We start from the raw sequence: 26318 nt of genomic DNA on the forward strand, positions 1-26318 counted from the left end.
CAGTGACTCACCTCCGCCGTGCTAACTCCTCGCTAGCTCTCCCTCTCACACACGCTCACACCCGGCTCGAGATGGCGGCGGCGGCGGCGGCGGCGGGGGACTCGGACTCCTGGGGTGAGGAGAAGTTGCTGGGGCAGGGCCCGGGCCGGCGCCGGCCCCACGCAGTGGCAGGCACTAACACGGCTCGCTTTCTTCCGTAGACGCCGACGCTTTCTCCGTGGAAGACCCAGTGCGGAAGGTGGGGGGCGGCGGCACTGCCGGCGGGGACCGCTGGGAAGGCGAGGACGAGGACGAGGACGTCAAGGTGGGTGCGGGCTAGGGCGCCGGGCAGCGCGGAAGCGGGCTGGCGCTGTTGCCGGCCGACTCTGGGCCCCGGGTCGCTGCCGGGGCCTGCGGGCCGTGGGTCCAGGCGCGAGCATAGGGCCTGGCGGTGCTCTCTTCCCCTCCGCTTGCCGGCCATGTGTGGGCCGAAGACTGGCAGCGTGGCCTCCCGGACTCCCTCGCCGGTTGAGAGTCTGCTCTCCGGCGTGGATCCCACCCGCCGGCTGGCGACGAAAGGTGACAGCATCGGCCGGGTCGGCCCACGTGCAAGCTTCGCGGTCCGGAGCCTCTCGCAGGAATGAGACCGGGAAGTTGGGAATTGAGCCTTGTAGCTTATCCATATGGAAAGCCTTGAGACTCGCCTGTCTTTTCGAGCTCAAGTCAGCCCAGGGCCAGTAACTCATTTATGACCCTGAGGTCTACTTATACAGTTTGTTCGAGGGATTAGATGAGTGAAATATTGTAGTTGAATTTCAACCTTTTTTTCCCACACGAGACAGCTAGAAACAGTAAAGGGAAATAACTTTTGGCTCTCCCTTCCCCCACCCTGTGGTAAAAAGAATGAACTGACCACTGAGATAGCCCGCAGTTAGTGGACAGAAACCCAGGTAGTTCACACCGTGACCTGAGAAATGGAGAGACGACAGTTACTCAACTACACACATACGACACCTAAGGAAATATTGAAGATTTGGTGGTGGTTGTAGATGACGGGCCCGTGGTTTTTTGTTGTTGTTGTTGTTTTGTCTGTGCCTTGTAGATAATCATTTTTACCTCAGTCGTTTGATTTTGAAAACTCCGAAGGGTTCATTATACAGCTGTAAGTGACATTTACTTCTACATGGTTTTTTTTTTTTTTTACAGTAGTTACAGAAGTCTCAAATCCAAAATGTTAAGACTCTTATTAACAAAGTTCTCAAAATCTTGTTATATTTGTGCAGATAAAGTTTTGTGTGAAATGGAAAATGATTTTTTTTTGTGGTTTTGCCTAATTTAGTGAATTTCTCCTAATTTATAAACACAAACGGAGAACCCTATAAATCCTGCCTGGGCTGAAAAGTTTAAGCTAGATAATCACTATGAACTTAATAGGAATGTTGTTTTGAGTTTTTCTGTTCTCTCCCCAGTCCGATGAGGTTGGATGTGTGGATGTCCGATTTACTGACAGCCTGAGGTTCAAGAATGTTGTGAGCTTTGCACACATTGAAGTTAATAAATCGACTGGTTATTGTTTGAAGACACTCAGATGCTTTATTTACATGTTGTAGAAACATGGGACTAGATTTTGTTACCAGCCGCATTACAAGATATTAGTTACCCCTCTACATTGTAGCAGATTTTCAGTTTTGAGCCTTGGGTTCATATTGGTCCTTTCATTTTTTTCCATGCATATAGGAAGTGGCAGTTAAGACATCTGTTATGAAATTTGGGAATAAATTAACAAATGCAGAGAAAAGATTAGAGATATTAGGAAAGAAGTTGCAGAAAATGAAGTTTTAATGGATAGTCTAGACTAATGTCATGGAATAACTTCCTTGGGATTAAGGGATCTAAATGGTATCGATCTTGATGAATATAATTCTTTTTTTTTTTTTTTTTGAGATGGAGTTTCGCTCTTGTTGCCCAGGCTGGAGTGCAATGGCGCGATCTTGGCTCACTGCAACCTCCACCTCCTGGGTTCAAGTGATTCTCCTGCTTCAGCCTCCCAAGTAGCTGGGATTACAGGCACGCACCACCACGCCTGGCTAATTTTGTATTTTTAGTAGAGACGGGGTTTCGCCATGTTGCCCAGGCTGGTCTTGAACTTCTGACCTCAGGTGATTCTCCTGCCTTAGCCTCCCAAAGTGCTGGAATTATAGGCGTGAGCTACCGTACCCAGCCTCTGATGAATATAATTCTGATCACTTGGAACAAGTTTTGGATATTTACAAGTTGTAAGGGACCACAAAGATTATCTTGTCCAGTTGCTCTTTTTTTTTTGGAAATGGAGTCTCGCTCTGTCACCCAGGCTGGAGTGCAGTGGCACAATCTCCGCTCACTGCAAGCTCCGCCTCCCAGGTTCACTCCATTCTCCTGCCTCAGCCTCCCGAGGACTACAGGTGCCCACCACCACGCCCGGCTAATTTTTTCTATTTTTAGTAGAGACGGGGTTTCACCGTGTTAGCCAGGATGGTCTCAATCTCCTGACCTTGTGATCTGCCCGCCTTGGCCTCCCAAAGTGCTGGGATTACAGGCGTGAGCCACCACACCCGGCCCCAGTTGCTGTTTTAGTGCTAAATTTCTTTTTCTTTTTTTTTTTTTTTTTTAACTTAAAGCAATCTATCTATTCATCTAATTTTTTGAGAGAAGGTCTCACCCCGTTTCCCAGGCTGGAGTGCAGTGGCACGATCTCTGCAACCTCCGCCTCCCGGATTCAAGTGATTCTCCAGCCTCAGCCTTTCTAGTAGCTGGGATTACAGGTGTGCACCGCCGTGCCCAGCTAATTTACATATTTTTTTCTTTTTTTTTTTTTTGAGATAGAGTCTTGCTCTGTCACCCAGGCTGGAGTGCCGTGGCACGATCTTGGCTCACTGCAACCTCCGCCTCCCAGGTTCAAGCAGTTCTCTGCCTCAGCCTCCCGAGTAGCTGGGATTACAAGCGCCCACCACCACACCCAGCTAATTTTTGTATTTTTAGTAGAGACGGGGTTTCACCATCTTGGCCAGGCCGGTCTTGAACTCCTGACTTCGTGATCCACCCGCCTCGGCCTCCCAAAGTGCTGGGATTACAGACGTGAGCCACCGCGCCTGGCTATATATATATATATATATATATATATATATATTTTTTTTTTTTTTTTGTAGATACAGGGTTTCGCCATGTTACCTAGGCTGGTCTCAAACTCCTGAGGTCAAAGTGATCTTCCCGCCTCGGCCTCCCAGAGTGCTGGGATTACAGATGTGAGCCACTGCACCTGACCTATTTATTTTGAGACGGATTTGTGAGACTGGCTAATTTTTGTGTTTTTGGTAGAGGTGGAGTTTCGCCAAGTTGCCCAGGCTGGTCTCAAACTCCTGAGGTTAAAGCGATCTTCCCGCCTTGGCCTCCCAGAGTGCTGAGATTACAGGTGTGAGCCACTGCACCTGGCCTATTTATTTTGAGACAGATTTGTGAGACTGGCTAATTTTTGTGTTTTTGGTAGAGATAGAGTTTCGCCAAGTTGCCCAGGCTGGTCTCGAACTCTTGGAGTCAAGTGATCTATCCTCCTCAGCCTCCTAAAATGCTGGGATTATGGGCGTGAGCCAGCAGACTCAGCCATATCACCAAATTTCTGAATTCTTATGTTTTTGTACTTTTTATGAGGAGTTGCAGACAAGGCTTAGTTTCCGTGAGGTCTTCTGTTCATGTCAGCATCTAGTACTTAACCTTTAAAAATACAGGTTTAATGTCATTTGTAATGTCCTGGGAAATGAAAGGAAAACTGATGTTTTTGTTATTATAATTTGCTCCAGCACTTTACTCTCATTTAGTAGACTTAGTATTTTGCTGTCCTTGACTTTTCAAATAGCTGTCTGGCAGTGGCAGAAGTGGACTTAGGTGAAACTGTACAACCGTTAATATATATGGCAAGAAAAGACTATGCTTTTCCCCAGTTAAAAAGATGAGAACTCGGGAGCATAGTTTCCCATCACCCTGGCTTTATTTACCTTTTTTACTATCCTGATAGTTGTGCAGAGGTAGTGGGAAGAATTGTTCACTTGGCATATATGACTCCTTCCTCATTGCTGGTATGATATGTAGGATGTGTTGACTGAGAAGGCAGTGAGTACCTACTGGACACAAGGACAACATAACTTTTGCTCCATTTTACTAGTCTCCTAGCATTTCAGTAGAACAGTTTAGAAGCTAGATTTATTCAAAGGGTACAGAGTTTGCAGAAACTTATAGCTGTGTTCAGCCATCTCACGCATTTGCCTCTGTAACCATATAGCATTTCTTTTAAAAGATCCTGAAGAGGCTGAGGCAAGAGGATTGCGTGAGCCTAGGAGTTTGAAGCCAGCCTGGGCAACATAGCAAGACCCCAACACATTTAAAGAGAGAGCGATCCTGAAGAACAGATTTAGTTGAGCCTCTCTCGTCCTACTCATTCACTCTCTGTTAGGATCCTATTCCAATAAATAGTTTGAATCTACCAGATAGGGACAATTTTCAGGGGTTGGAAACAACTTCTAAAGAACAGGATCTGTATTTTACAGAATGTGAAATTACTAGGAAATACCCAGAAGGTGGGCATTTTGCCAGAAAATGGGTATTTTGAAGAGAGTGTGTGTATGTGTAACTTAAGAAAAATTCCAAACATGCAGTAGAGAGAAACATTTAATAAACCAGTGACCAGTCTTGTCTCCTCTGTATCCCCACTTTCCTCCTCCAACCAGATTATTTTCAAGAAAATCTCAATCATATCATTTCATACCCTGCCACTTTTATAAACTAGCAAGTTTTGAATTAGGAAGCATGTTTGTTATTGAAAAATATTTTCTTGTCATGATGGATCATTGTAAATAAACCACTTGTTTAGTGTTCAGTGTCTTGATATCGCTGAGCCAGAAATTTAAAGTAGATTGATAACTGTCCTGAATATGAGACAGGTAGGCATTGAGATGGAACTCAGCTGAGTGCTGATCCATTGTAGTATGTTAAAAGCTTAATGAATTGAATTAAATGAAGTAGAATTTACTAAGGCAGGCACCTTGGCTTCTAGGCACCCAGCATAGTTCTGAGATGGTGGAAGAACATTTTGGCTTTTAAAAAACTGAACTTTGCTGGGAAGTCTACCCTTGCCAAGATCTCGTTGCACAGTTCTGAGTTCTCTCAGAACTGCACAGCTTACAGAACACAAATTAAAGGCTTTTTTTTTCTTTCCCAGCAAGAGATTATGTTTTACCTAAACCAAATTATTTAAAGAAAAAAGGAGAAGGAGTATATGTTAGTTCCTAGGCTGTTGCTATAGGGCAAAAGAGTTTTATTGCTCGTTTGAAGCTACTTCTATTTGACAATCTATAAATACATCTTGCTTAAGTTGGAAAGCATTTTCAGCCCTAAATGTGTTCTCATTGCATGTGACATAATGTAGTTTTATATTATGAAGACAGAACCAGCTAACTACTGGCCACATTGTTAGAAATAAAAAGAAAGCAAGATATAAAGTTTTCTGCTTTGCTTCTGATACTTAGTTGTGTTCAATTAGGGAAGCAAGTTTTAAAGTTAAAAAGCAGCCATCTCTTTCATAGAAATAGCTTAAATGATGGGTGTGTATCTGCAGGGCAAGAGTATAGATAAGCAAGTAGTTTATAAACAGGCCCTATTCTAAGAAGCTAGCCATTTTAGGAGAGCAGCCTGGGTGATTCTTTTGAAGATAAATTGGATATTATAGTTGAAAGATTAATTGGCTACCAAAAATAATTGGGTAAAGGATTTAATTGGATGTTCATAGGTAGTCTCTTGAACCAAATAACCATTTAGGGCTCTTTGAAGTGAGTTGTAGACTTGCTCCCTATTTTAAGTGTTAATTTTAGCTGTTTCTCTAGGAAGCCTTTTTACATTTTATCTGAATTTGCTGCTGGAATTTACAAACTTCTAATGTTTACAAAAAATTGGGCATATTTTTTGAAGCAGCGTGGTGAACATTCTACCTTAAATCTACTTTTCAGACACTTAATTTTATAACTATGGAAACAAAAACTCTAACTTCCTGGGGAAAGCTACCTGGCCTTTTGCTTTTATAATTACATCTGTTTGGAAGTGTGACCAGTCTCTTTTTGCTGACACTTACTATGCTCCTTTCTTTAGGGGCTTAGTGCTAGTTTGGTAGTAACTTCAGGGCAGACTTGTAAGCACTTTGGGGAGAGAGTGACAGTCAAGGTTTGGATGGTCCTTTTATGAATTGAGGAGCAGATGTCATGGCTCTTCTTGGTACATGTTGATAGGAACCACTTTTTTTTTTTTTTTTTGAGATGGAGTTTCGCTGTCTCCAGGCTGGAGGGCAGTGGCGCAGTCTCGGCTTACTGCAACCTCCGCCTCCTGGGTTCAAGCGATTCTCCTGCCTCAGCCTCCCAAGTAGCTGGGACTACAGGTGTGCGCCACCACACCCAGCTAATTTTTGTATTTTTAGTAGAGATGGGGTTTCACCATGTTGGCCAGGATGGTCTCGATCTCTTGACCTCGTGATCTGCCTGCCTTGGCCTCCCAAAGTGCTGGGATTACAGGCATGAGTCACCACGCCTGGCCAGAATCACTTCTTTTGCTACTAAAATCCATTCTGTGATGGAGTAGGGAATGTCTAGGTAGCTTCATTATGTCTGCATTGATGTGTGTCTGGGGTAAGGTTTATGCTTTGATGGGAGAAACTAGGGACAGGGATAGAGGTGGACATAGAGTTGGTGTGAATGTACTGAGGGAGCAGTGATATGGGTGGGGTGGGGGTTATGTTTTTCTGGGAAGGGTAACTGAAGAGCATCAACATTAAATAAAAATGCTCCTGTGTTGAGTTTGTTTCTTTACCTTGGAGGTATTGAGATGGAGCTCCTTATTTTCAGCCATACTTCTTCCTTCTTGACCTCTTACTACCAGAGGCTTGCAGACCAGTTTTTTTCTTTTTTCTTTTCTTTTCTTTTCTTTTTTTTTTTTTTAGACGGAGGCCTTCTCTATCACCCAGGCTGGAGTGCAGTGGCGTGATCTCGGCTCACTGCAACCTCTGCCTCCCGGGTTCAAAGTGATTCTTGGGCATCAGCCTCCCGAGTAGCTGGGACCACAGGTGCACACCACCACGCCCTGCTAATTTTTTTTGTATTTTTAGTAGAAACAGGGGTTTGCCATGTTGGCCAGGCTGGTCTTGAACTCCTGAACTCAGGTATTCCACCCACCTTGGCCTTCCAAAGTGTTGGGATTACAGGCGTGAGCCAACTCATCTGGCCCAGTTTCTTAAATTAGTAGAAAACTGGCCAGGCGTGGTGGCTCACACCTGTAATCCCAACACTTTGGGAGGCTGAGGTGGGTGGATCACCTGAGGTCGGGAGTTCAGGACCAGCCTGACCAACATGGAGAAACCCATCTCTACTAAAAATACAAAATTAGCCAGTTCGTGGTAGCACATGCCTGTAATCCCAGCCACTTGGGAGGCTGAGGCAGGAGAATCGCTTGAACCCAGGAGGCAGAGGTTGCGGTGAGCTGAGATCGTGCCATTGCACTCCAGCCTGGGCAATAAGAGCAAAACTCCATTTAAAAAAAAAAAAAAAAAAAAAGGTGGGAGGGGCCAGGCACGCCTGTAATCCCAGCACTTTGGGAGGCTGAGGTGGGTGGATCACGAGGTCAAGAGATCAAGATTATCCTGGCCAACATGGTGAAACCCGGTCTCTACTAAAAACACAAAAATTAGCTAGGCATGGTGGTGCATACCTGTAGTCCCAACTACTCAGGAGGCTGAGGCAGGAAAATTGCTTGAACCTAGGAGGCGGAGGTTGCAGTGAGCTGAGATTGCGCCACTGCACTCCAGCCTGGCGACACAGTGAGACTCCATCTCAAAAAAAAAAAAAAGATCAGTAGAGAACCACTACAGGCAATTTAAGGTGAGAAGTTTGGTAACCAGTATACCTCTAGCTGGGCATATCTTAATATGTGTAATAATCCTTCTCTTTATGAGATTCCCAGAGTTCCCAGGAGAGGGACTTAGTTCCCAGTTAGTTATTTTATACTTCAGGACTCAGGGAAGAAGTCATATTTACTATAATACTATTTTTATTTTTATTATTTTGCATTGGAATTGCATTGGAATTGCTTTATTCCAGCGAATTAAATTGTTTACCAGACTGTGAATTTTGTAAGCAAGTGTTTAAAACATGCTTTTTAAAGACCTTCCTTAACATTGTGTTTAAAGCCTTAAATGAAGCTGTTTACATGTATACATTTAAAGGATGTATCTCAGCATGTTACTCTAAAGATGTGTTGTAAGCTGCTTTATTACAGTGAATTGAACTCTACTAAACCGTGAACTTTGTAAGCAAGTGTTTAAAACATGCTTTTTAAAAAAGTAAATCATTTTATTTTCAATAAAAAGGTCAGTCAAATGTTTAGTTATTTAAAACTTTTTTAAAATTAGTTTTTATAATTGGCAAATAATGTACATATTTATGGGGTATATTGTGATGTTTCAATGCATGTATACATTGTAATTACCATTTCATCACTTTAAACATTTATCATTTCTTTGTGGTGTTAACATTCAAAATTTTCTTATGGAACTATCTTGAAATATATAACATTGTTATTAGCTATAATCACCGTACTGTGTAATAGAACACCAGAACTTATTCTTCTAACTGTAACTTTATACCTATGACACTTTAAAGAACTTTGGTCCATTCAGAGCAGGTCCCTTAGTTTTTCACTGAGATTGTGGGTTGGCTATGTCTGGGCCTGGGTTTCCTTTTCTTTAAAATGGGGGAATAACACTACCTTCTTACAGGACTGTTGTGAGAATTAACCTTGTTACTACACCTGTTTCTCAGAAGGGTTTTAAATATGCATCTTCTGGAAGTAAGCAAATGGTCCTCCTATCTGAAACACTGCCCCCTATCACTCACAGATCCAGCCTTCCTGTGTTCTGTGAAGATTTAAACAACAAAAAATGCCTAGTAATTCACTTTTATTTTTAGCTCTTTGGTTCCTTTTGTACTGTGATGTATAGCACTTAGCAAACTAACGGCGAAATACAAACGTTTGATCTCTAATTTCTAACTCTAGTATCACAGTTACTCAAATAATGACTAGCTGGTTTGCTTTCAATCTGTTAAAACTGCGAGCTGTGGGTTAAATTGCTGAAGTAAGATGAATATAAAAATACACTTACTTTTTAATACAAAGTTCCTTTAATTATGCTTGCAGACTGTATGACAGCCTTAATCAGGATGTTGAATTTTTAATTTCTTTACTGGACTTAGAGATTTTTATTAAGAACCAAGGCTTGGTTAGTTTATATTCCTAGACTGATACAAATTTGTGATCTGTCGTGTTATGAAACCAGAAGCTTGGTGTCATATTGTGGCATATTAGTCATACTAGTCAGCCTTTGCTTCTTTAGTAGCATCAGGGCCTCTTGCCCTGCTTTTGCCATCTTGCCACTCAGCTTCAAATGGCATGTCATAGTGTGCCTGGTGGCTGCTGAGACAATGGCCAGGCTACCTATGATTAAAGCCATCTTTAATCATAGGGCTGTGTCTGTCCCTATTAAACTTGAGCCTTCTAAGTTCTGTGGAGCTTTTAGAAAATTGTGTTTGATAATTGGTTTATATTTAGCTCAATGATTGAGTTAGGCATAGAAAAAACAGAGTATAGATCTTTTTTTTTTTTTTTTTTTTTTTTTTTTGAGACAGAGTCTCTGTTGCCTAGGCTGGAGTGCAGTGGCTCGATCCTGGCTCACTGCAGCTTCGCCTCCTGTGCTCAAATGATTCTTGTTCCTCAGCATCCTGAGTGGCTAGGATTACGGGCGTGCACCACCATGCCCACCTAATTTTTGTATTTTTTAGTATAAACGGGGTTTCATCATGTTGGCCAGGCTGGTCTCGGAACTCCTGGTCTCAAGTGATCTGCCTGCCTCGGCCTCCCAAAGTGCTGGGATTAAAGTGCCCTGAGTTAGAGAGTGGGATCCATGAAGGCTTGATTAGCTGTTGACTTTTTTTTGTGAGACGGAGTTTCATTCTTGTTGCCCAGGCTGGAGTGCAATGGCGCGATCTCGGCTCACCACAGCCTCTGTCTCCTGGGTTCAAGCAATTTTCCTGCCTCAGCCTCCCGAGTAGCTGGGATTACAGGCATGTGCCACCACACCCAGCTAATTTTGTATTTTTAGTAGAGACGGGGTTTCTCCATGTTGGTCAGGCTGGTCTTGCATTCCCGACCTCAGGTGATCTGCCTGCCTTGGCCTCCCAAAGTGTTGGGATTACAGGCGTAAGCCGGCCTTGATTCTTTTTTTTTTTTTTTTTTTTTTTTGAGACGAAGTCTCGCCGCACTGTCACCTGGGCTGGAGTGCAGTGGCACAATCTTGGCTCACTGCAACCTCCCACTCCTGGGTTCAAGTGATTCTCCTGCCTCAGCCCCCAAGTAGTTGGGATTATAGGTGTCTGCCACCACGCCCAGCTAATTTTTTGTATTTTTAGTAGAGACAGGGTTTCACTATGTTGGCCAGGCTGGTCTCAAACTCCTGACCTCGTGATCCGCCCACCTCAGCCTCCCAAAGTGCTGGGATTACAGGCATGAGCCACGCACCCGGCCTGACTCCTTTTTAATAGTGGGCTTTAGAATTATATAGACTTAATTCATTAACCAGGCTTATGTTGTATGGAATACTACTTGAAATAAATGAGCTATTGGCCAGAGTATAGGATGCTTTTTACATTTGGGGGGAAGTAAGAACTATAAAGTTCTCTCAGTTTTTATTTATTAATAACTGAATCACTTTCAGAGAGGCTATTGATTTCAGCTAGGTTGTCCTAACTGCTAATGGAGAAGCTTTCTTATGAAGTTAGATAAGTTGATATGAGGGTTCATATGGAAAAACAAAACATGCAAGAAAGGCCAAGAAAACACTAAAAAATCTGAAAACCTACAAGGAAGGACTAGCTCTAGCTGACATTAAAGTAAAGCCTCTGTAATTAAAACAGTACCGGCTGGGCATGGTGGCTCACGCCTGCAATCCCAGCACTTTGGGAGGCTGAGGATCACCTGATGTCAGGAGTTCGAGACCAGCCTGGTCAACATGGAGAAACCCCGTCTCTACTAAAAATACAAAAATTAGCCCGGCATGATGGTGGACACCTGTAATCCCAGCTACTCCAGAGGCTGAGGCTGGAGAGTCACTTGAACCCAGGAGGCAGAGGTTGCAGTAAGCTGAGATCGCGCCATTGCACTCCAACCTGGGCGACAAGAGTGAAACTCCGTCTCAAAAAACAAGACCAAAAAAACCCAGTATGGTACCGTTATATGGAGAGACAGTAGACTAGTGGGATAGGATCAAAAGCCCAGAAATAGACCAAGTACATATGAAAATTTAGTATATGGTAAGTCACAAGGTATCTTAAAATGTTTTTTGCTGCAATAGAATGCAATAGACTGGGTATTGTATAAACAACAGATTTATTTCTTATGGTTATGGAGGCTGAGAAGTCCAGTATCAAGGTGCTGGCATCTGGCGAGGGCCTTCTTGCTCTATTATCCTGGGGCAGAAGGGCAAAAGAGCACAAAGGATTGCAGGAGGTGTCAGAACTCATCCTTTTATCAGATATCTACTCCTAATATAAAGGTATTAATAATTCATTCATGAGGGCTTTGCCTCTAATCATTTCTAAAAGACCCTACTTCTCAACACTGTTGGATTGGAGATTTCATCACATGAACTTTGGAGGACACATTCAAACCATAGCCCAGGGAAAAAAACCATTATTTATTAAAGGGTTTTTAATAAATGATGCTGTGACAACTGGGTAGCCATTTGGGAAAAAAATGAAATTAGATCCATGTTGCATATCATAACACAAGAAAAAAACTCCAAATCAGAGATCTAAATAAAAAAAAAAATGAAACCCTATACATTCTAGAAGAAATTGTGGGTGAATTCTTAGGTGTAAGAAAAGACTTTCTGGCTGGGCGAAGTGGCTCATGCCTGTACTCCCAGCACTTCGGGAGGCTGAGGTGGGCGGATCACCTGAGGTTGGGAGTTCGAGATCAGCCTGACCAACATGGACAAACCCCATCTCTACTAAAAATACAAAGTTAGCCAGGCATGGTGGTGCATGTCTAATCCCAGCTGCTTGGGAGGCTGAGGCAGGAGAATTGCTTGAACCCGGGAGGTGGAGGTTGTAGTGAGCCTAGATCATGCCATTGCACTCCAGCTTGGGCAACCAGAGCAAAACTCCAACTCAAAAACAAAACAAAACAAAACAAAACAACAAAAAAACAAGAAAAGACTTTCTAATTGACTTGAAATCCATCCAGAGGCAATGAAAGAAAAGACTGGGGCTAGGCACGGTGGCTCACGCCTGTAATTCCAGCACTTCGGGAAGCCGAGGCGGGCGGATCATGAGATCAGGAGTTCGAGACCAGTGTGACCAACATGGTGAAATCCTGTCTATACTAAAAATACAAAATTAGCCAGGCATGGTGGCATGTGCTGGTAATCCCAGCTACTCGGGAGGCTGAGGCAGGAGAATCACTTGAACCTGGGAGGCAGAGGTTGCAGTGAGCTGAGATCGTCCCTGTATTCCAGCCTGGGCGACAGAACGAGACTCCGTCTCAAAAAAAAAAAAAAAAAAAAAAAAAACCATTTCTACTAAAAATAAATGAGCCAGGCATGGTGGTGTATGCCTGTAATCCTAGTTACTGGGGAGGCTGAGGCAGGAGAATCGCTTGAACCTAGGAGGTGGAGGTTGCAGTGAGCTGAGATCGTGACATTGCACTCCAGCCTGGGCAAGAAACTCCGTCTCAAAAAAAAAAAAAAAGTCTGGTAAATTTTATTGCATAAATTTGTTGGGATGCATAGCAATTCATGGGGAAACAATAGAGGCATTTCCATCAAGAAAGCAAGGATGCCCATTACTTCTGCTGCTGTTCAACATTGCACTAGAGGTTTAGCTGGCCCAATTAGGTAAATCACTTGTGAGGGCCTAAGGATTGGTAGAGAAGTAAAGCTATCTTTTGTTTGCAGATAAGGTAGCATACCTGTAAAACCCTAGAGAAGCAACGATAAATCTAACTTAAGTGATAAATGAATTCAGTAAGGTAGCAGGATATTAACATATAAAAAAGCCAATAGTCATTTTTGTTTATTTGTTTTGAGACAGGGTTTTTATGATAGTGAGTTGCCTAGGATAGAGTGCAGTGGCACTATCATAGCTCACTGCAGCCTTAACCTCCTGGGCTCAAGTGATCTTCCCACCTTAGCCTCTCAAGTAGCTGAGACTACAGGCACATGCCACGTTGCCCAGTTAATTTTTTAATTTTTTTTTTTTTTGCAGAGACTGGGTCTTGCCGATAGGTTTTTATACACAAATAATAGCCACCTAGAGGACATAATAGGAAAACACCCTATTTATAATAGCAACATACAAGATGAAATACTTAGGAATAAATCTAAAGAGAAATGCGCAGAGCCTCTAATAGGGAAATCACTTTAAAACACTTCTGAAAGGTACAAAAATGTACTTGATCAAATGGAAAGACAGTTCTTATTCTTGGTTAGGGCAGCTCAGCATTATAAGATGTCAATTCCCCCTACATTAATTTATAAATTTAATGCAGTACAAAAAAATACCAACAAACATTTCTCTGGAGTTAGTCAAGTTGATAATAAAGTTCACATAGAAAAGCAAACATGCAAGAATTATTAATGGAAGTCCTTTTCTTTAGGATAACTGGGATGACGATGATGATGAAAAAAAAGAGGAAGCAGAAGTAAAACCAGGTGAGCCACTGGGGCGCCTCCATTTTTGTTTTTATGTCTTGCTGAGCATTTGTGACTTGTATTAAGACAAATGACAGAACGCTCACAAAATGGAACATTTTGGTATTTAGAAACCAAGTGTCCTTCCATTCCCACTTTATTCTGTTTTCCCTGCAACTTTTCTCTATCGCCTCAAAATATAATCAGATTAGATACTTGCTGTATTTCTGTATGAGTGCTTGTTAGTAGGAAAGGGTAGAGGTTCTGGCATTAATTATAGTTGAATGATCTAAGCCCTGCCTATAGGACGGTGGGGAAATATGAAGAGATATTTGGATCTTAGGGGTCACATTAGAGAGGAGAAGGAAGAGTCCCAGAAGTTTCCCATTATTTGTGAGAAAAATCACTGTTTGAAGCTGGGAAAGGTTTGGTCTCTTAATAGTATACAAGTATCATGTCTGTCTCATCCATAAACTGGAAAATACTCAGTATAACTGAATAAAACTTTTTTTTACTTTTAGAGGTAAAAATTTCAGAAAAGAAAAAAATAGCAGAGAAGATAAAAGAGAAAGAACGGCAACAGAAGAAAAGGCAAGAAGAAATTAAAAAGAGGGTAAATTCTGTTTTCTAAAATACAGAATTCTCACATCGGTAGTGGTATAGTTTCTAACAGGCTGCAAATATTACCTAGGAATTTGAAGGGCTCTGTGAAGACTGTAAATGGATACCATAAGATAGGTAAAATCCAAAACAAATTGATTTGTGGTTTTTGCAAAAACAGAACCCAGTTTTATATATGAGTGTCTTTTAAGTTTTCACAAACATTCAGGAATAGTCATGATAGTGCAGTGACTACAGTCAGTGATTTTTGCCAGTGCCTGTAGTTCATTCTAGTCAGCAGTATTAGTTTTTGTTGTTGTTTTTTGTTTTTTTTTTTTGGAGACGGAGTCTTGCTCTGTCGCTAGGCTGGAGTACAGTGGCACAATCTCGGCTCAGTGCAACCTCTGCCTCCCGAATTCAAGCCATTCCCCTGCCTCAGCCTCCTGAGTAGCTGGGACTACAGGAGCCACGGCGAGCTAATTTTTTGTATTTTAGTAGAGATAGGGTTTCACCATGTTGGCCAGGATGGTCTCAATCTCCTGACCTCGTGATCCACCCGCCTCGGCCTCCCAAAGTCCTGGGATTACAGGTGTGAGCCACCGCGTCTGGCCAGGATTAGTTTTTATTTGCAGTGTATATATTGAACATAATATAAAAATTGTTCATTTCTGTGCCATGTGCTATATAAATGTATTTGTTTTTGATTTTTTGGCACAGGATCAGAAATATATGCTTGTTTTTTTTTGTTTTTGTTTTTAGACAGAGTCTCACTCCGTTACCTAGGCTGGAGTGCAGTGGTGTGATTTTGGCTCACTGCAGCCTCCACTTCCCAGGTTCAAGCAATTGTCATGCCTCAGCATCCCAGGTTGGAATTACAGGCACACGCAACCATGCCTGGCTAATCTTTGTATTTTTAGTAGAGATGGGGTTTCGCCATGTTGGCCGGGCTGGTCTCAAACTCCTGACCTCAAGTGATCTGCCTGCTTCGACCTCCCAAAGTGCTGGGATTACAAGCATGAGCCACCACGTCCAGCCTATTTTCTATTTCTTTTCTTTTCTTTTTTTTTTTTTAGAGATGGAGTTTCACTCTAGTCGCCCAGGCGGGAGTGCAATGGCGTGATCTTGGCTCACTGCAACCTTCTCCCGGGTTCAAGTGATTCTCCTGCCTCAGTCTTCGAGTAGCTGGGACTGCAGGCATGTGCTACCATGCCCAGCTAATTTTGTATTATCAGTAGAGATGGCATTTCACCGTGTTGGCCAGGTTGGTCTCAAACTCCTGACCTCAGGTGATCCACCCGCCTTGGCCTCCCAGAGTGCTAGGATTATAGGCGTGAACCACTGTGCCTGGCCTATTTTCTATTTCAGAACACATTTACATGGTTCAAAAATTAAAACAGCCTGCGTGGTGGCTCATGCCTGTAATTGCAACGCTTTGGGAGGCTGAGGTGGGAGTATTGCTTGAGTCCATGGATTTGAGACCAGCCTGGACAACATAGGGAGACCCCGTCTCTACAAAAAATAGAAAAATAAGCTGGGCGTGGTGGTACATGCCTGTAGTATCAGCTGCTTGGGAGGCTAAGGTAGGAGAATCACTTGAGCCCAGGAAGTTGAGGCTGCAGTGAGCCATGACTGCGCCACTACACTCCAGCCTAGGTGACAGAGCAAGATCCTGCCTCAAAACAAAAAAAAAAAGAAGAAAACGGCCAGGCGTGGTGGCTCACGCCTGTAATCCTGGCACTTTGGGAGGCCGAGGCAGGCAGATCACAAGGTCAGGAGATCGAGACCATCCTGGCTAACACGGTGAAACCCCGTCTCTACTAAAAAATAGAAAAATTAGACGGGCGTGGTGGCGGGCGCCTGTAGTCCCAGCTACCTGGGAGGCTGAGGCAGGAGAATGGTGTGAACTCAGGAGGCGGAGCTTGCAGTGAGCGGAGATCGCACCACTGCACTCCAGCCCGGGCGACAGAGCGAGACTCCATCTCAAAAAAAAAAAAGAAAAAATAATTATATTCCAGTATAAAGAGAAGATAGATATACACTAAGCTGTCAACTGTCATGTCAGAGAAGTGGGTTTGGGAAACAAATGACATCTACTATTATATCTTTAAAATTTGTTATAGTGGTAATTTTATAATTATACAATATGATGAAAAGGGGAAATGTTTTGAACCATTCTGTTGGACATTTAGGTTGTCTGTAAATTTATTTGAAATTATGAATAATACTCTAATGTACATTCTTGGGCTTACATATTTGTGTGCATCTTATTTCTTAAGGTAAATACCTGGAAGTAGAATACTTGATTAAAGCATGTAAAAATATTATTTAAGACTTGATCCATATTACCAAGTTGCCCTAGAAAGGGTTTTCCAATATAGTTTTAGTAGCAGTGTATGAAAGTAATATTTTTACCTTGTCCACAGTCTCAATTCCTTTTTTTAAAAAAGGTTATAGAAGTAACCCCAGTCTTCCTGGGTACAAATCTGTCACGTTACCAGCTGTTACCTTCTATTTAGTTGTGGGCAGGTTGTTTCTTTGTGCCTCCATTGCTTATCTTTAAAATTGGGTTAAGGATACCTAAAGTGGACTGGGCGCAGTGGCTCACACCTGTAATCCCAACACTTTGGGAGGCTGAGATGGGCGGATCACTTGAGGCCAGGAGTTCAAGACCGGCCTGGCCAACATGGTGAAACCCCATCACTGCTAAAACTACAAAAATTAGCTGGATGTGGTGGTGCACGCCTGTAATCCCAGCTACTCGGGAGGCTGAGGTATGAGAATCACTTGAACCCAGGAGGCAGAGGTTACAATGAGCGAAGATCATGCCACTGTGCTCCAGCCTTGGTGGCAGAGTGAGGCTCTGTCTAAAAAAAAAAAAAAAAAAAAAAAAACTAAAGTGTTTAGAAGAATGCCTGAAACAGTAATTACCAGTGTTCACTTTTATTTGTTATTATATACGCTTATTTAAGAATTCGTACAATACAGAAAGGTACTGAGTGCATCATAATCCCTGTGCTTTTTAAAAACTTTTGTCTCATTTTAGTTAGAAGAACCCGAAGAACCTAAAGTGCTAACACCAGAAGAACAATTAGCAGATAAACTGCGGCTAAAGAAATTACAGGAAGAGTCAGACCTCGAATTAGCAAAGGAAACTTTTGGTAAGACGGGATTATGATTGCAATACAGTATTAAACTGTTACAGGTGAAGACCCAGAAAGTTCAGAAAACATCTCCTTTTCTTAAAAGAAACATACTGGCTAATGTAGATATTAGAAAGCAGTTTTTAATCTCTGTGTATATTTGAGATTTCATTACATGTTCAGATTTTTGAATAATTGTTTTGAGTAAAAGATTATTAAGATAAGTCATTTATAGCAATGCAAGAAGGGCAAAAAGGAGTAGACTCAGATGAAGTACACTACTGCATAGAATATTTTTATCAGCTGGATGAAATTTGCATGAAATGTGAGGTCTGTAGCTTTGAAATGGACTGTAGGGCTGTCCTGTTGTCTTAAGACTTAGACAGTAGGATGTTGCTCCAGGTGAGAGGCATGCAGCTTTTGCTGTGCCTTCTTGTGCTCAGTGTCATTTCCTTCTGCAACCCTTCTTTGCCCTTACCATGCCCTATCTTTAGAGGGCCTCCATTTCTTTGTGCGGTGTCTGCAGCTGTGGTTAGTGCGTGAGATAAAAGTGCAGGATCCTATAAATAGATAAATTCAGAGTGTTCCAGAGTAAGAGACATGGCTAGAGAAATAGTCAAAGCCCTCGCTTCATTTAACCAAGTTATCGTTACCTGTTGAGTACTTTTCAGAGTAGAAGATCATGTTGAAACAGTTAAATCACTGAAATTTATAACCAAGAAGGAAAGCTCTAGTTATTCTGATACCCCTCCCCCACTTTCATACTTTCTCTACTCTGAAACAGATCAACAGGCTGACTGTAGTGATTGTTTTCCTTTTCATGAGGAAGTATGACCTTATCTGTCAGTGGATCTGTACAAATACCAGGAGTTGATGTGAATGCTCCTGTGCACCATTGTATGCTTGGCAGGTCTTAACTGCACTCATCTAATTATAGAGAGCTCTTGGCTGTTAATATGTGTCTTCCTAGGATGGTAAAAGCTGCCCATGTGTTTATTAAAGAGGCAGGTTTATGAAGTGTGCATAAAGCCTAGCATGGGACACCTGTTATAGACTAAAAGGTAAAAACATGCATTCATATAGTCATTGTTAATAGGATTTTACTGTTGTGTTTCTCATACTAAAATACCACATGTAATATTGTTAATAACTAATCTACTTGACATGGAGGATACAGAAGCATACTTATCTTAGTGTAAAACTCATCTAGGCCAGATTTTTTTTTTTCTAACAGGGTCTGGCTCTGTCATCCAGGCTAGAGGACAGTGGCTGAGATCGGCTCACTGCAACCTCTGCCTCTGGGCTCAAGCCATCCTCCCACCTTAGCCTCCCAAGTAGCTGGGACTACAGGCGCATGCCACCACGCCTGGGTAATTTTTGTTTTTTGGGGCTTTTTTTGTAGATACAAGGTTTCACCATGCTGCCCAGGCTGTTGTTGAAGTCCTGAGCTCAAGTGATCTGCCGCCTTGGCCTCCTAAAGTGCTGGGATTACAGGCATGAGCCACCATGCACAGCCTAGGCCAGATTTCTTCTATTGGGATTTAACATGTTTACCCCCGCTTAGCTTCTGGAGTTAGACAAATACTTTCACAGGATCCATCTTTGTTTCTTATTCTTTTTGTTCCCTCTCTCCCCACTTTACTGTGGGGGTGTTCTTGGACAAGAACAGAGTATCCCTTTTGTAATGTAATATGTTGTGTTTTGTTTTTAGAGAAAGGTTCTTGCTCAGTCATCCAGTCTGGAATGCAGTGGCATGACCATAGCTCACTGCAGCCTCAAACTCCTGGGCTCAAGCAATCCTCCCACCTCAGCCTCCCGGGTAGCGAGGGCTACAGGTGAATATCACCACACCTGGCTAATTTTATTTATTTTTTTGAGACAGAGTCTCACTCTGTCACCCAGGCTGGAGTGCAGTGGTGCAGTCTCGGCTCATTGTAACCTCCGCCTCCTGGGTTGAAGTGATTCTCGTGCCTCAGCCTCCCAAGTAGCTGGGATTACAGATACATGCCACCACCATGCCTGGCTAATTTTTGTATTTTTGGTAGAGACAGGGTTTCACCATGTTGGCCAGGCTTGTCTCTCGGACTCCTGACCTCAGGTGATCGGCCTGCCTAGGCCTCCCAAAGTGTTGGGATTACGGGTGTTAGCCACTGCGTCTGGCCACACCTGGCTAATTAAAAAAATTTTTTTTGTAGAGATGAGGTCTTGCTGTGTTGCCCAGGCTGGTCTCAAACTCCTGGCCTCAAGCGATCCTTCCTCTTAGGCCTCCCAAACAAAACACTGGGATTACAGGTGTGAGCCACTGTGTCTGGCCTTGATATATTGTTTTTAAATGAATAAAATACTTATTTATAAAGAAAACCTGTTATATATAAATAGATGTCAAAATACTAAAATGACAAATTTGTGATACAGAATTATATGCTTCCTTATCGATGCATTAAATCAGGTGTAGTGGCACGTCAAATAATGTCATTTGAGAGTAATTATGACTGAACAATATTAATATTGTAAGATATCTGTAATGGCAGGAGAGTGTGATCTCTCCTGGTAAGTCAAGTTTTGCTAATACCACTGTGATTTGTTGCCAGTCAATTGAAACTGAAGGAAATGCTGAATTAGAGGTTAATAAAGATGTAACTTTTTTTCTGATTTAAGTTTGTAACCCCCCTCCCCCCTCACCCAGCCATTCTATCCAGTGACTCCAGTGGCTCCAGGTTCAGAGCCCCTGCTTTAGAATGAAACGACAGGGTTATTCAGATAGCTATTGGCTTTGTAAGGTTTCATTTTTAAAAATCCTAACCTCCTGATACTTTTCAGTGCTTCTTTTCTCCTACAGGTGTTAATAATGCAGTTTATGGAATAGATGCTATGAACCCATCTTCAAGAGATGACTTTACAGAGTTTGGAAAGTTACTAAAAGATAAAATTACACAATATGAAAAGTCACTATATTATGCCAGTTTTTTGGAAGTCTTAGTTCGAGATGTGTGTATTTCATGTAAGTAATTCTAATTTCTAGCCCCTCTGGGTAGATTTTTAGTAGGATGTTCTCTTCAGGAGGTTGAAGGTTATTTTTTATTTTCAAGGATACTATAATACAGACTCATGATTTGCTGTTTTTAGCAATTACCTTGTGAATGTTGTTCTGCAGATACAGTGAATTTGAGTGCTGGATCTTTTTGTTTGTTTGTAGGGGTAAGAGGACTTCTTGTTTTACAATGGCTTCCCTAAGAGATACCTGGGCTTGTCAGCAAAGCAGCTAATAAAACACTGGCCTATTCTTTTTATCTGATTATCACTTGAGAGGGGCTGGGAAGTATCTTTTGAGGGAAAAGGTCTCTGGCACTGTAGGATTTGGGTTGGGTGAGACTTCAGCCACTGTCTTTTACAAATCAGAATTAGACAGGGTGCAAGTTGAGTGACAGGGCTGGCACCTATTCTCTGGGTCCGTGGTTGTGGTGCCACACCTTGATAGGAGTCATACATTTCAGGGCAGGGTGAATGGGAGTGACAGCCATGGGTGGTGAAGCAGGAATGTATGGAAGGGACTGGTTTTGCTAGTATTTGCAGTTTTTTTGTTGTTGTTGTTTTTGTGATGGAGTCTTGCATTGCAGAGGCACGATCTCAGCTCACTGCAACTTCTGCCTCCTGGGTTAAAGCAATTCTCCTGGTCTGGCGCAGTGGCTCATGCCTGTAATCCCAGCACTTTGGGAGGCCAAAACAGGCGGATCACGAGGTCAGGAGATTGTAGACCATCCTGGCTAACAAGGTGAAGCTGAGGCAGGAGAATGGCATGAACCTGGGAGGCAAAGCTTGCAGTGAGCTGAGATCGTGCCACCGCACTCCAGCCTGGGTGACCAAGTGAGACTCCGTCTCAAAAAAAAAAAAGCAATTCTCCTGCTCAGACTCCTGAGTAGCTGGGATTACAGGCGCCTGCCACCACGCCCGGCTAATTTTTTGTATTTTTAGTAGAGACGGGGTTTCACCATGTTGGCCAGGCTGCTCTGGAACTCCTGATCTCAGGTGATCTCCCTGCCTTGGCCTCCCAAAGTACTGGGATTATAGGTGTGAGCCACCACGCCCAGCCTATTTGCAGTTTTTAAGATGGAGAAAAAGGAATCCTACACAATGAATTGGGTTTTCTTTGATAAATTATCACTAAGCTGAGGGTTCTACATTTGATTGGTAATGTGCCCAGAGTTGATATTTTATTCTGCATGTACTAATTTTTTTCTGGTTTTTGGAGGTGTTCTCTAACCAAAACTGAACACTTTCTGGTAGCTAAAAACTGGTGTCTCTTTCCAGCTTCATATTTTTATAAGGCTGATAATGCTGTCCACTGAACAGGACTATTTCTTGGTAGGACATAGAGATGGTCACTGTTCTCATTGTAGTTCCCGTGCAAGAAAATGGAGACATCATGGGATAGGGTGTTGTCATTGTAGGTTTAAGAATTGTCATTCTGGCCGGGCGTGGTGGCTCATGCCTGTAATCCCAGCACTTTGGGAGGCTGAGGCTGGTAGATCACCTGAGGTCAGGAGTTTGAGACTAACCTTGCCAACATGGTAAAACCTCATCTCTATTAAAAAAAAAAAAAAAAAACACAAAAATCAGCTGGGCATGGTGGCACGCACCTGTAATCCCAGCTACTCGGGAGGCTGAGGCAGGACAATCACTTGAATCTGGGAGGTGGAGGCTGTGGTGAGCCGAGATCACGCCACTGTACCCCAGCCTGGTGACAAAGCGAGACTCTGTCTCAAAAAAAAAAATAAAATAGGCCGGGTGCGGTGGCTCACACCTGTAACCCCAGCACTTTGGGAGGCCGAGGCAGGCGGATCACGTCAGGAGATCAAGAGCATCCTGGCTAACACAGTGAAACCCCGTCTCTACTAAAAATACAAAAAATTAGCTGGGCATGGTGGCGGGCGCCTGTAGTCCCAGCTACTCGGGAGGCTGAGGCAGGAAAATGGTGTGAACCCGGGAGGCGCAGGTTGCAGTGAGCCGAGATCGCGTCACTGCACTCCAACCTGGGTGACAGAGTGAGACTCCATCTCAAAAAAAAAAAAAAATAATAGTAATTGTCATTTCATGTTTATTTGTCTGTTCTCCCTGATTACTGGGGGTGTGTTAATGGAAGGGCATGTTATCCTCCCCCATTTGTTTAGACTGAGGAAGGATAGTAGGGAGCATTGTGAGCTATAAAGACAGTTTCTCTTTGGTTGAGCAATGGTGTGTTGGTGATTACAGGTCGTCATTATAAATAAAATGAATTTTGTTTTCAAGAGACAGGGTCTAGCTGTGTTGCCCAAGCTGGTCTCGAATTCCTGGGCTTAAGTGATCCACCCACCTAGGCCTCCCAAAATGCTGGGATTACAGGCATGTGCCACTGTGCCCGGCCACCTTACGTTTAAAGAGGAGAAATTCATGGTCCTTTCAAAGTTACTGAAGTTTAACAATGAACAAATTGGATTTCTCATAACACTTTTGGAATGTACATTTTGGGATATATAGATATATATGGAATGTACATATTTAGCTTTAACTTTTCAAAATGCTTAAAAATTCAAGTTTAATGGTATGCCCTTTTTTTTTTAAGTGGAAATTGATGACTTGAAAAAAATTACCAATTCACTGACTGTGCTTTGCAGTGAAAAACAGAAGCAAGAAAAGGTAAGAGCAAGCTGTGTAGGGAAATGGGTATTAAATTAGAGTGGGGTTATAGGTCTAACAGTCAACAAATATAATAGGAGCCTGTCCTAATTAAAAGTCAAGCAACTCACTAATACCATTTAAGTTAGACTAGAAGAGGAGTATGGGTGCTATTACTGTCCTTTTGTTTCCAGACATGTTCCCCTTTTCTGAGTTAATAGAAATTGCTGAAATCACAGACTGGGTTCAAATACTAGCACTGCTACTTAATAGGTATAGGTAAATCAGCTTTTCTAAGCTTCAGTCTTCTCCCTTCTAAAATAGGAACAATAATACTCACTTTGCAGAGTATTTATAAGAGTAAAGTAAGAGAAGTATGTCAAGTAAAGGTTAGAGCTTTGTGATTTTAAATTGGGGGGTACTTATCCACACTTTTCTAAATTTGCTTCAGTGAAGTTAAGGCTGTCTACCAATAACTTATAACCCCTGCTGGTGGGCTAGGTATCCAGAGCAGGACCAAGGACCCAGATCAAGTTTTGGAGAGACTGACTCTGGGAGACCTGTTCAGGTCCAAAACATGTAGGCTCGGATGTCCCTTACAGAACTAGTGTTTCTGGGACCAAAGGTTTTTGTGTGTTTGTTTATGAGGGTTGCTGTACCAGATAAGATGCCCATAGCACACTAAGGTTCATGAATTAACTCTCTTTCATCTTTAGCAAAGCAAAGCCAAAAAGAAGAAGAAAGGTGTGGTTCCTGGAGGGGGATTAAAAGCCACCATGAAAGATGATCTGGCAGATTATGGTGGTTATGATGGAGGATATGTACAAGACTATGAAGACTTCATGTGACATTTTATCTTTTCTTGGTGTCATCTTTATGTTGCCCACAATCCCTTGAACATGTAGCACAACTTCCTTTCCTTTCAGTTCTGCCAAATGCTACAATCAGAAGTGCAGTATCTTTTGTGCTGGTTATTTAACCCCTTGACACTTAGGTGCTAATGTGCAAATGAGGGAACTTGGATCTTGCTGCCAAGGGGTTAAAATTGGGAACCTAAGTTGCTACTAAATCATAGTTCAAAACCTAATAATGTTGTCGTTGTTGCTATCTGATTTCATAGCAGCAGTCACTAAATTGGAAACAAAAGGTTGCAACGTGACAAAAAAAATTGTGTAGTATTTACCAGCACCATTCAGTAATACAGCCTTAACCATACCTCCTTGAACTACTTCATAACTTGTCAAGAAAAGCAGTTTGCAGCAAGGGCATGTGGTGTGCACCTAGTATTAAAATTGCTTTGTCTTAAAATTGAACATGAGGATATTAAAAATACATTGTGAAGAAGACTGCTTATCTCAGAGTGAAGATACTGCGGCTGAAAAGCACTAGTTTGATATAAAATTAAAATGACCAAAACCCTCCAACTTTGAAGCTAAAGAAGGTAAACCTTTCCATTATTGCATTACATGTTGTGGAATCTCTCGAGTGCAAAGACTGTCTAGTTATTTATCAGGCTATTTCTACTGATGAACTGCTTCAGGTGGGGGAGGGAAACTTATTTTTATTTGCCTGATTTAAGTGTCTGAGAAACAAATCTTTGTTCTCTTAGGCTGCAATGGAACAACTTTACCAGGGTTTTGGCATTTCCTTTCCTTTCCTTTATAAAACATGCTCAGCAAACTGCACCAGTTAACTACAGTTTGGTAAATTGTTATGTTAACAATTATGACATCTGCAATGTTTTATAAAGCAACTAATTTAATAAAATCACTGTTGTGAGGACTTAAATTTTGTGTTACCTCCCAAGAGATACTTTTTGAGAGTATAGAACACAGCTCTTGGGAGTACAGTTCTCTACGTTCTCTACTAAATCTTAATAAATGCTTGACATAGTTACAGCTTTAAAACATGAGTGATTTGCCAGGTCCTTATGTTGTCACCATAGAGCAACAAAGGTATAGGGCTGCCTTCCTCTTATTTATTTGGGGACATTATTTTGTTATTTAGATACCAAGGCCTAATTAATTAAGTACCTATAAGAACTATTTATTTGGAGTAACTGAGCCTGTAACTCAGGTTTATGGCTGTTAAGTATAGATTGGGGAATCTTTATTATGTCTTCTCCTAAGCAGTTTAACCAAATGTGTGGTTAGTGTTTTTTTATTCCCCTAAGACAGAAAGAACAAAAAATGTTTTAAATTTCTCTTATATAGGAAATAATAGGAACGTCAAAGCTCTGTATACCTACTAAGTGGAAAACAAGACCATCATCTAAGTGATTTGAGAAATTAACAAAAGTAGTGACTACACAGCAATAATTACAGTAAATTAAATAAAGATTCCTTTAAGGCAGACAAGGGCTAAGATTTCCTTAGCAGTAATAATGACATACACTGAATTGAAAATCTATTTTATTACAGAAAGATCAGTTTCTAACAAATGAAAATGTATCACCTGTTCCTTAACTGTGTAAATAATAATTAAATTTCTTTGAAACTGGAATCTGCAGGTACAGGTATTCTTTAATCATTATTGGATCATCTAAAGTAGAAGCTGTCCTGAGGAAGAGGAAGCTTTTGATCTTAATACTAGTATCTATATAAAATGGTGTGGATGAACAATCATCTAAAATCAATCTATTTTAAATAGGAATTTCCTCCTGAAAAGTTTCTTACTTGCTACCTACTACCCACAAAGGACTGATATGGTACAGTACCGGGATTGTTCAACTTTAGCAAAGATCTCCAATGCATTCTTCTTCTCATCACATCTGTCAGAATCTGCTAACAGTACAAGAAAACAGACACCTATGAAATCATCTAACCTGCTAGCATGTCCTTTAGACAGCAACCTGTCTGAGGGTCCTTCAGAAGCACATTTACAATTTCATAAAACTTGTGTTCGTATGCCAACTTGTAATACAGGTAAACATCTTCACAATATGTGAGTAATTTCTTCAGGTTTTCCATGACCATGTCAGTAGGCTGATGTTGTTTATATCTAGATAAAGAAACATAATGTACAGGTTAAGATACTGTTTTTTGTTTTGTTTTGTTTGAGACAGTCTTACTCTGTTGCCCAGGCTGGAGTGCAGAGGAGCAGTCTTGGCTCACTGCAACCTCCACCTGCTGGGTTCAAGT

At 42.0% G+C, this 26318-nt stretch overlaps 2 protein-coding genes across 8 annotated transcripts in view, besides 2 other annotated features; one reads left to right on the forward strand and one right to left on the reverse strand.

Annotated features, from left to right (window-relative positions):
• Positions 24-25680, forward strand: EIF3J (eukaryotic translation initiation factor 3 subunit J). 3 transcript variants are annotated; one of them, NM_003758.4, is made up of 8 exons: positions 24-114; positions 201-304; positions 13753-13807; positions 14308-14399; positions 17430-17544; positions 20366-20527; positions 23126-23199; positions 23895-25680. In NM_003758.4, the coding sequence occupies exons 1-8, from the start codon at positions 72-74 to the stop codon at positions 24024-24026; spliced, it is 777 nt and encodes a 258-aa protein (NP_003749.2). In that variant the 5' UTR covers positions 24-71; the 3' UTR covers positions 24027-25680. The 3 variants fall into 3 exon arrangements, with proteins under 3 accessions (NP_003749.2, NP_001271264.1, NP_001271265.1); NM_001284335.2 differs by lacking the exon at positions 20366-20527; NM_001284336.2 differs by lacking the exons at positions 13753-13807; positions 14308-14399.
• Positions 147-456: a silencer, noted in NCBI's record as "silent region_6396". NCBI's record gives its function as "represses an Ori minimal core promoter by ATAC-STARR-seq in GM12878 lymphoblastoid cells {active_cell/tissue: GM12878}" and the evidence as "EXISTENCE:reporter gene assay evidence [ECO:0000049][PMID:35858748]".
• Positions 477-526: a silencer, noted in NCBI's record as "silent region_6397". NCBI's record gives its function as "represses an Ori minimal core promoter by ATAC-STARR-seq in GM12878 lymphoblastoid cells {active_cell/tissue: GM12878}" and the evidence as "EXISTENCE:reporter gene assay evidence [ECO:0000049][PMID:35858748]".
• Positions 25573-26318, reverse strand: part of SPG11 (SPG11 vesicle trafficking associated, spatacsin) — a 100967-nt gene continuing 100221 nt past the window's right edge. For all 5 annotated transcript variants that reach the window (NM_001411132.1, NM_001160227.2, NM_025137.4 and 2 more), the window contains one exon: positions 25573-26178. In NM_001411132.1, the coding sequence (NP_001398061.1) occupies positions 25998-26178 (181 nt within the window). In that variant the 3' untranslated portion in view covers positions 25573-25997. The remainder of the gene's footprint in view (positions 26179-26318) is intronic.

The sequence above is a fragment of the Homo sapiens genome, chromosome 15 (assembly GCF_000001405.40).
Source record: "Homo sapiens chromosome 15, GRCh38.p14 Primary Assembly".
Taxonomy (NCBI): domain Eukaryota; kingdom Metazoa; phylum Chordata; class Mammalia; order Primates; family Hominidae; genus Homo; species Homo sapiens.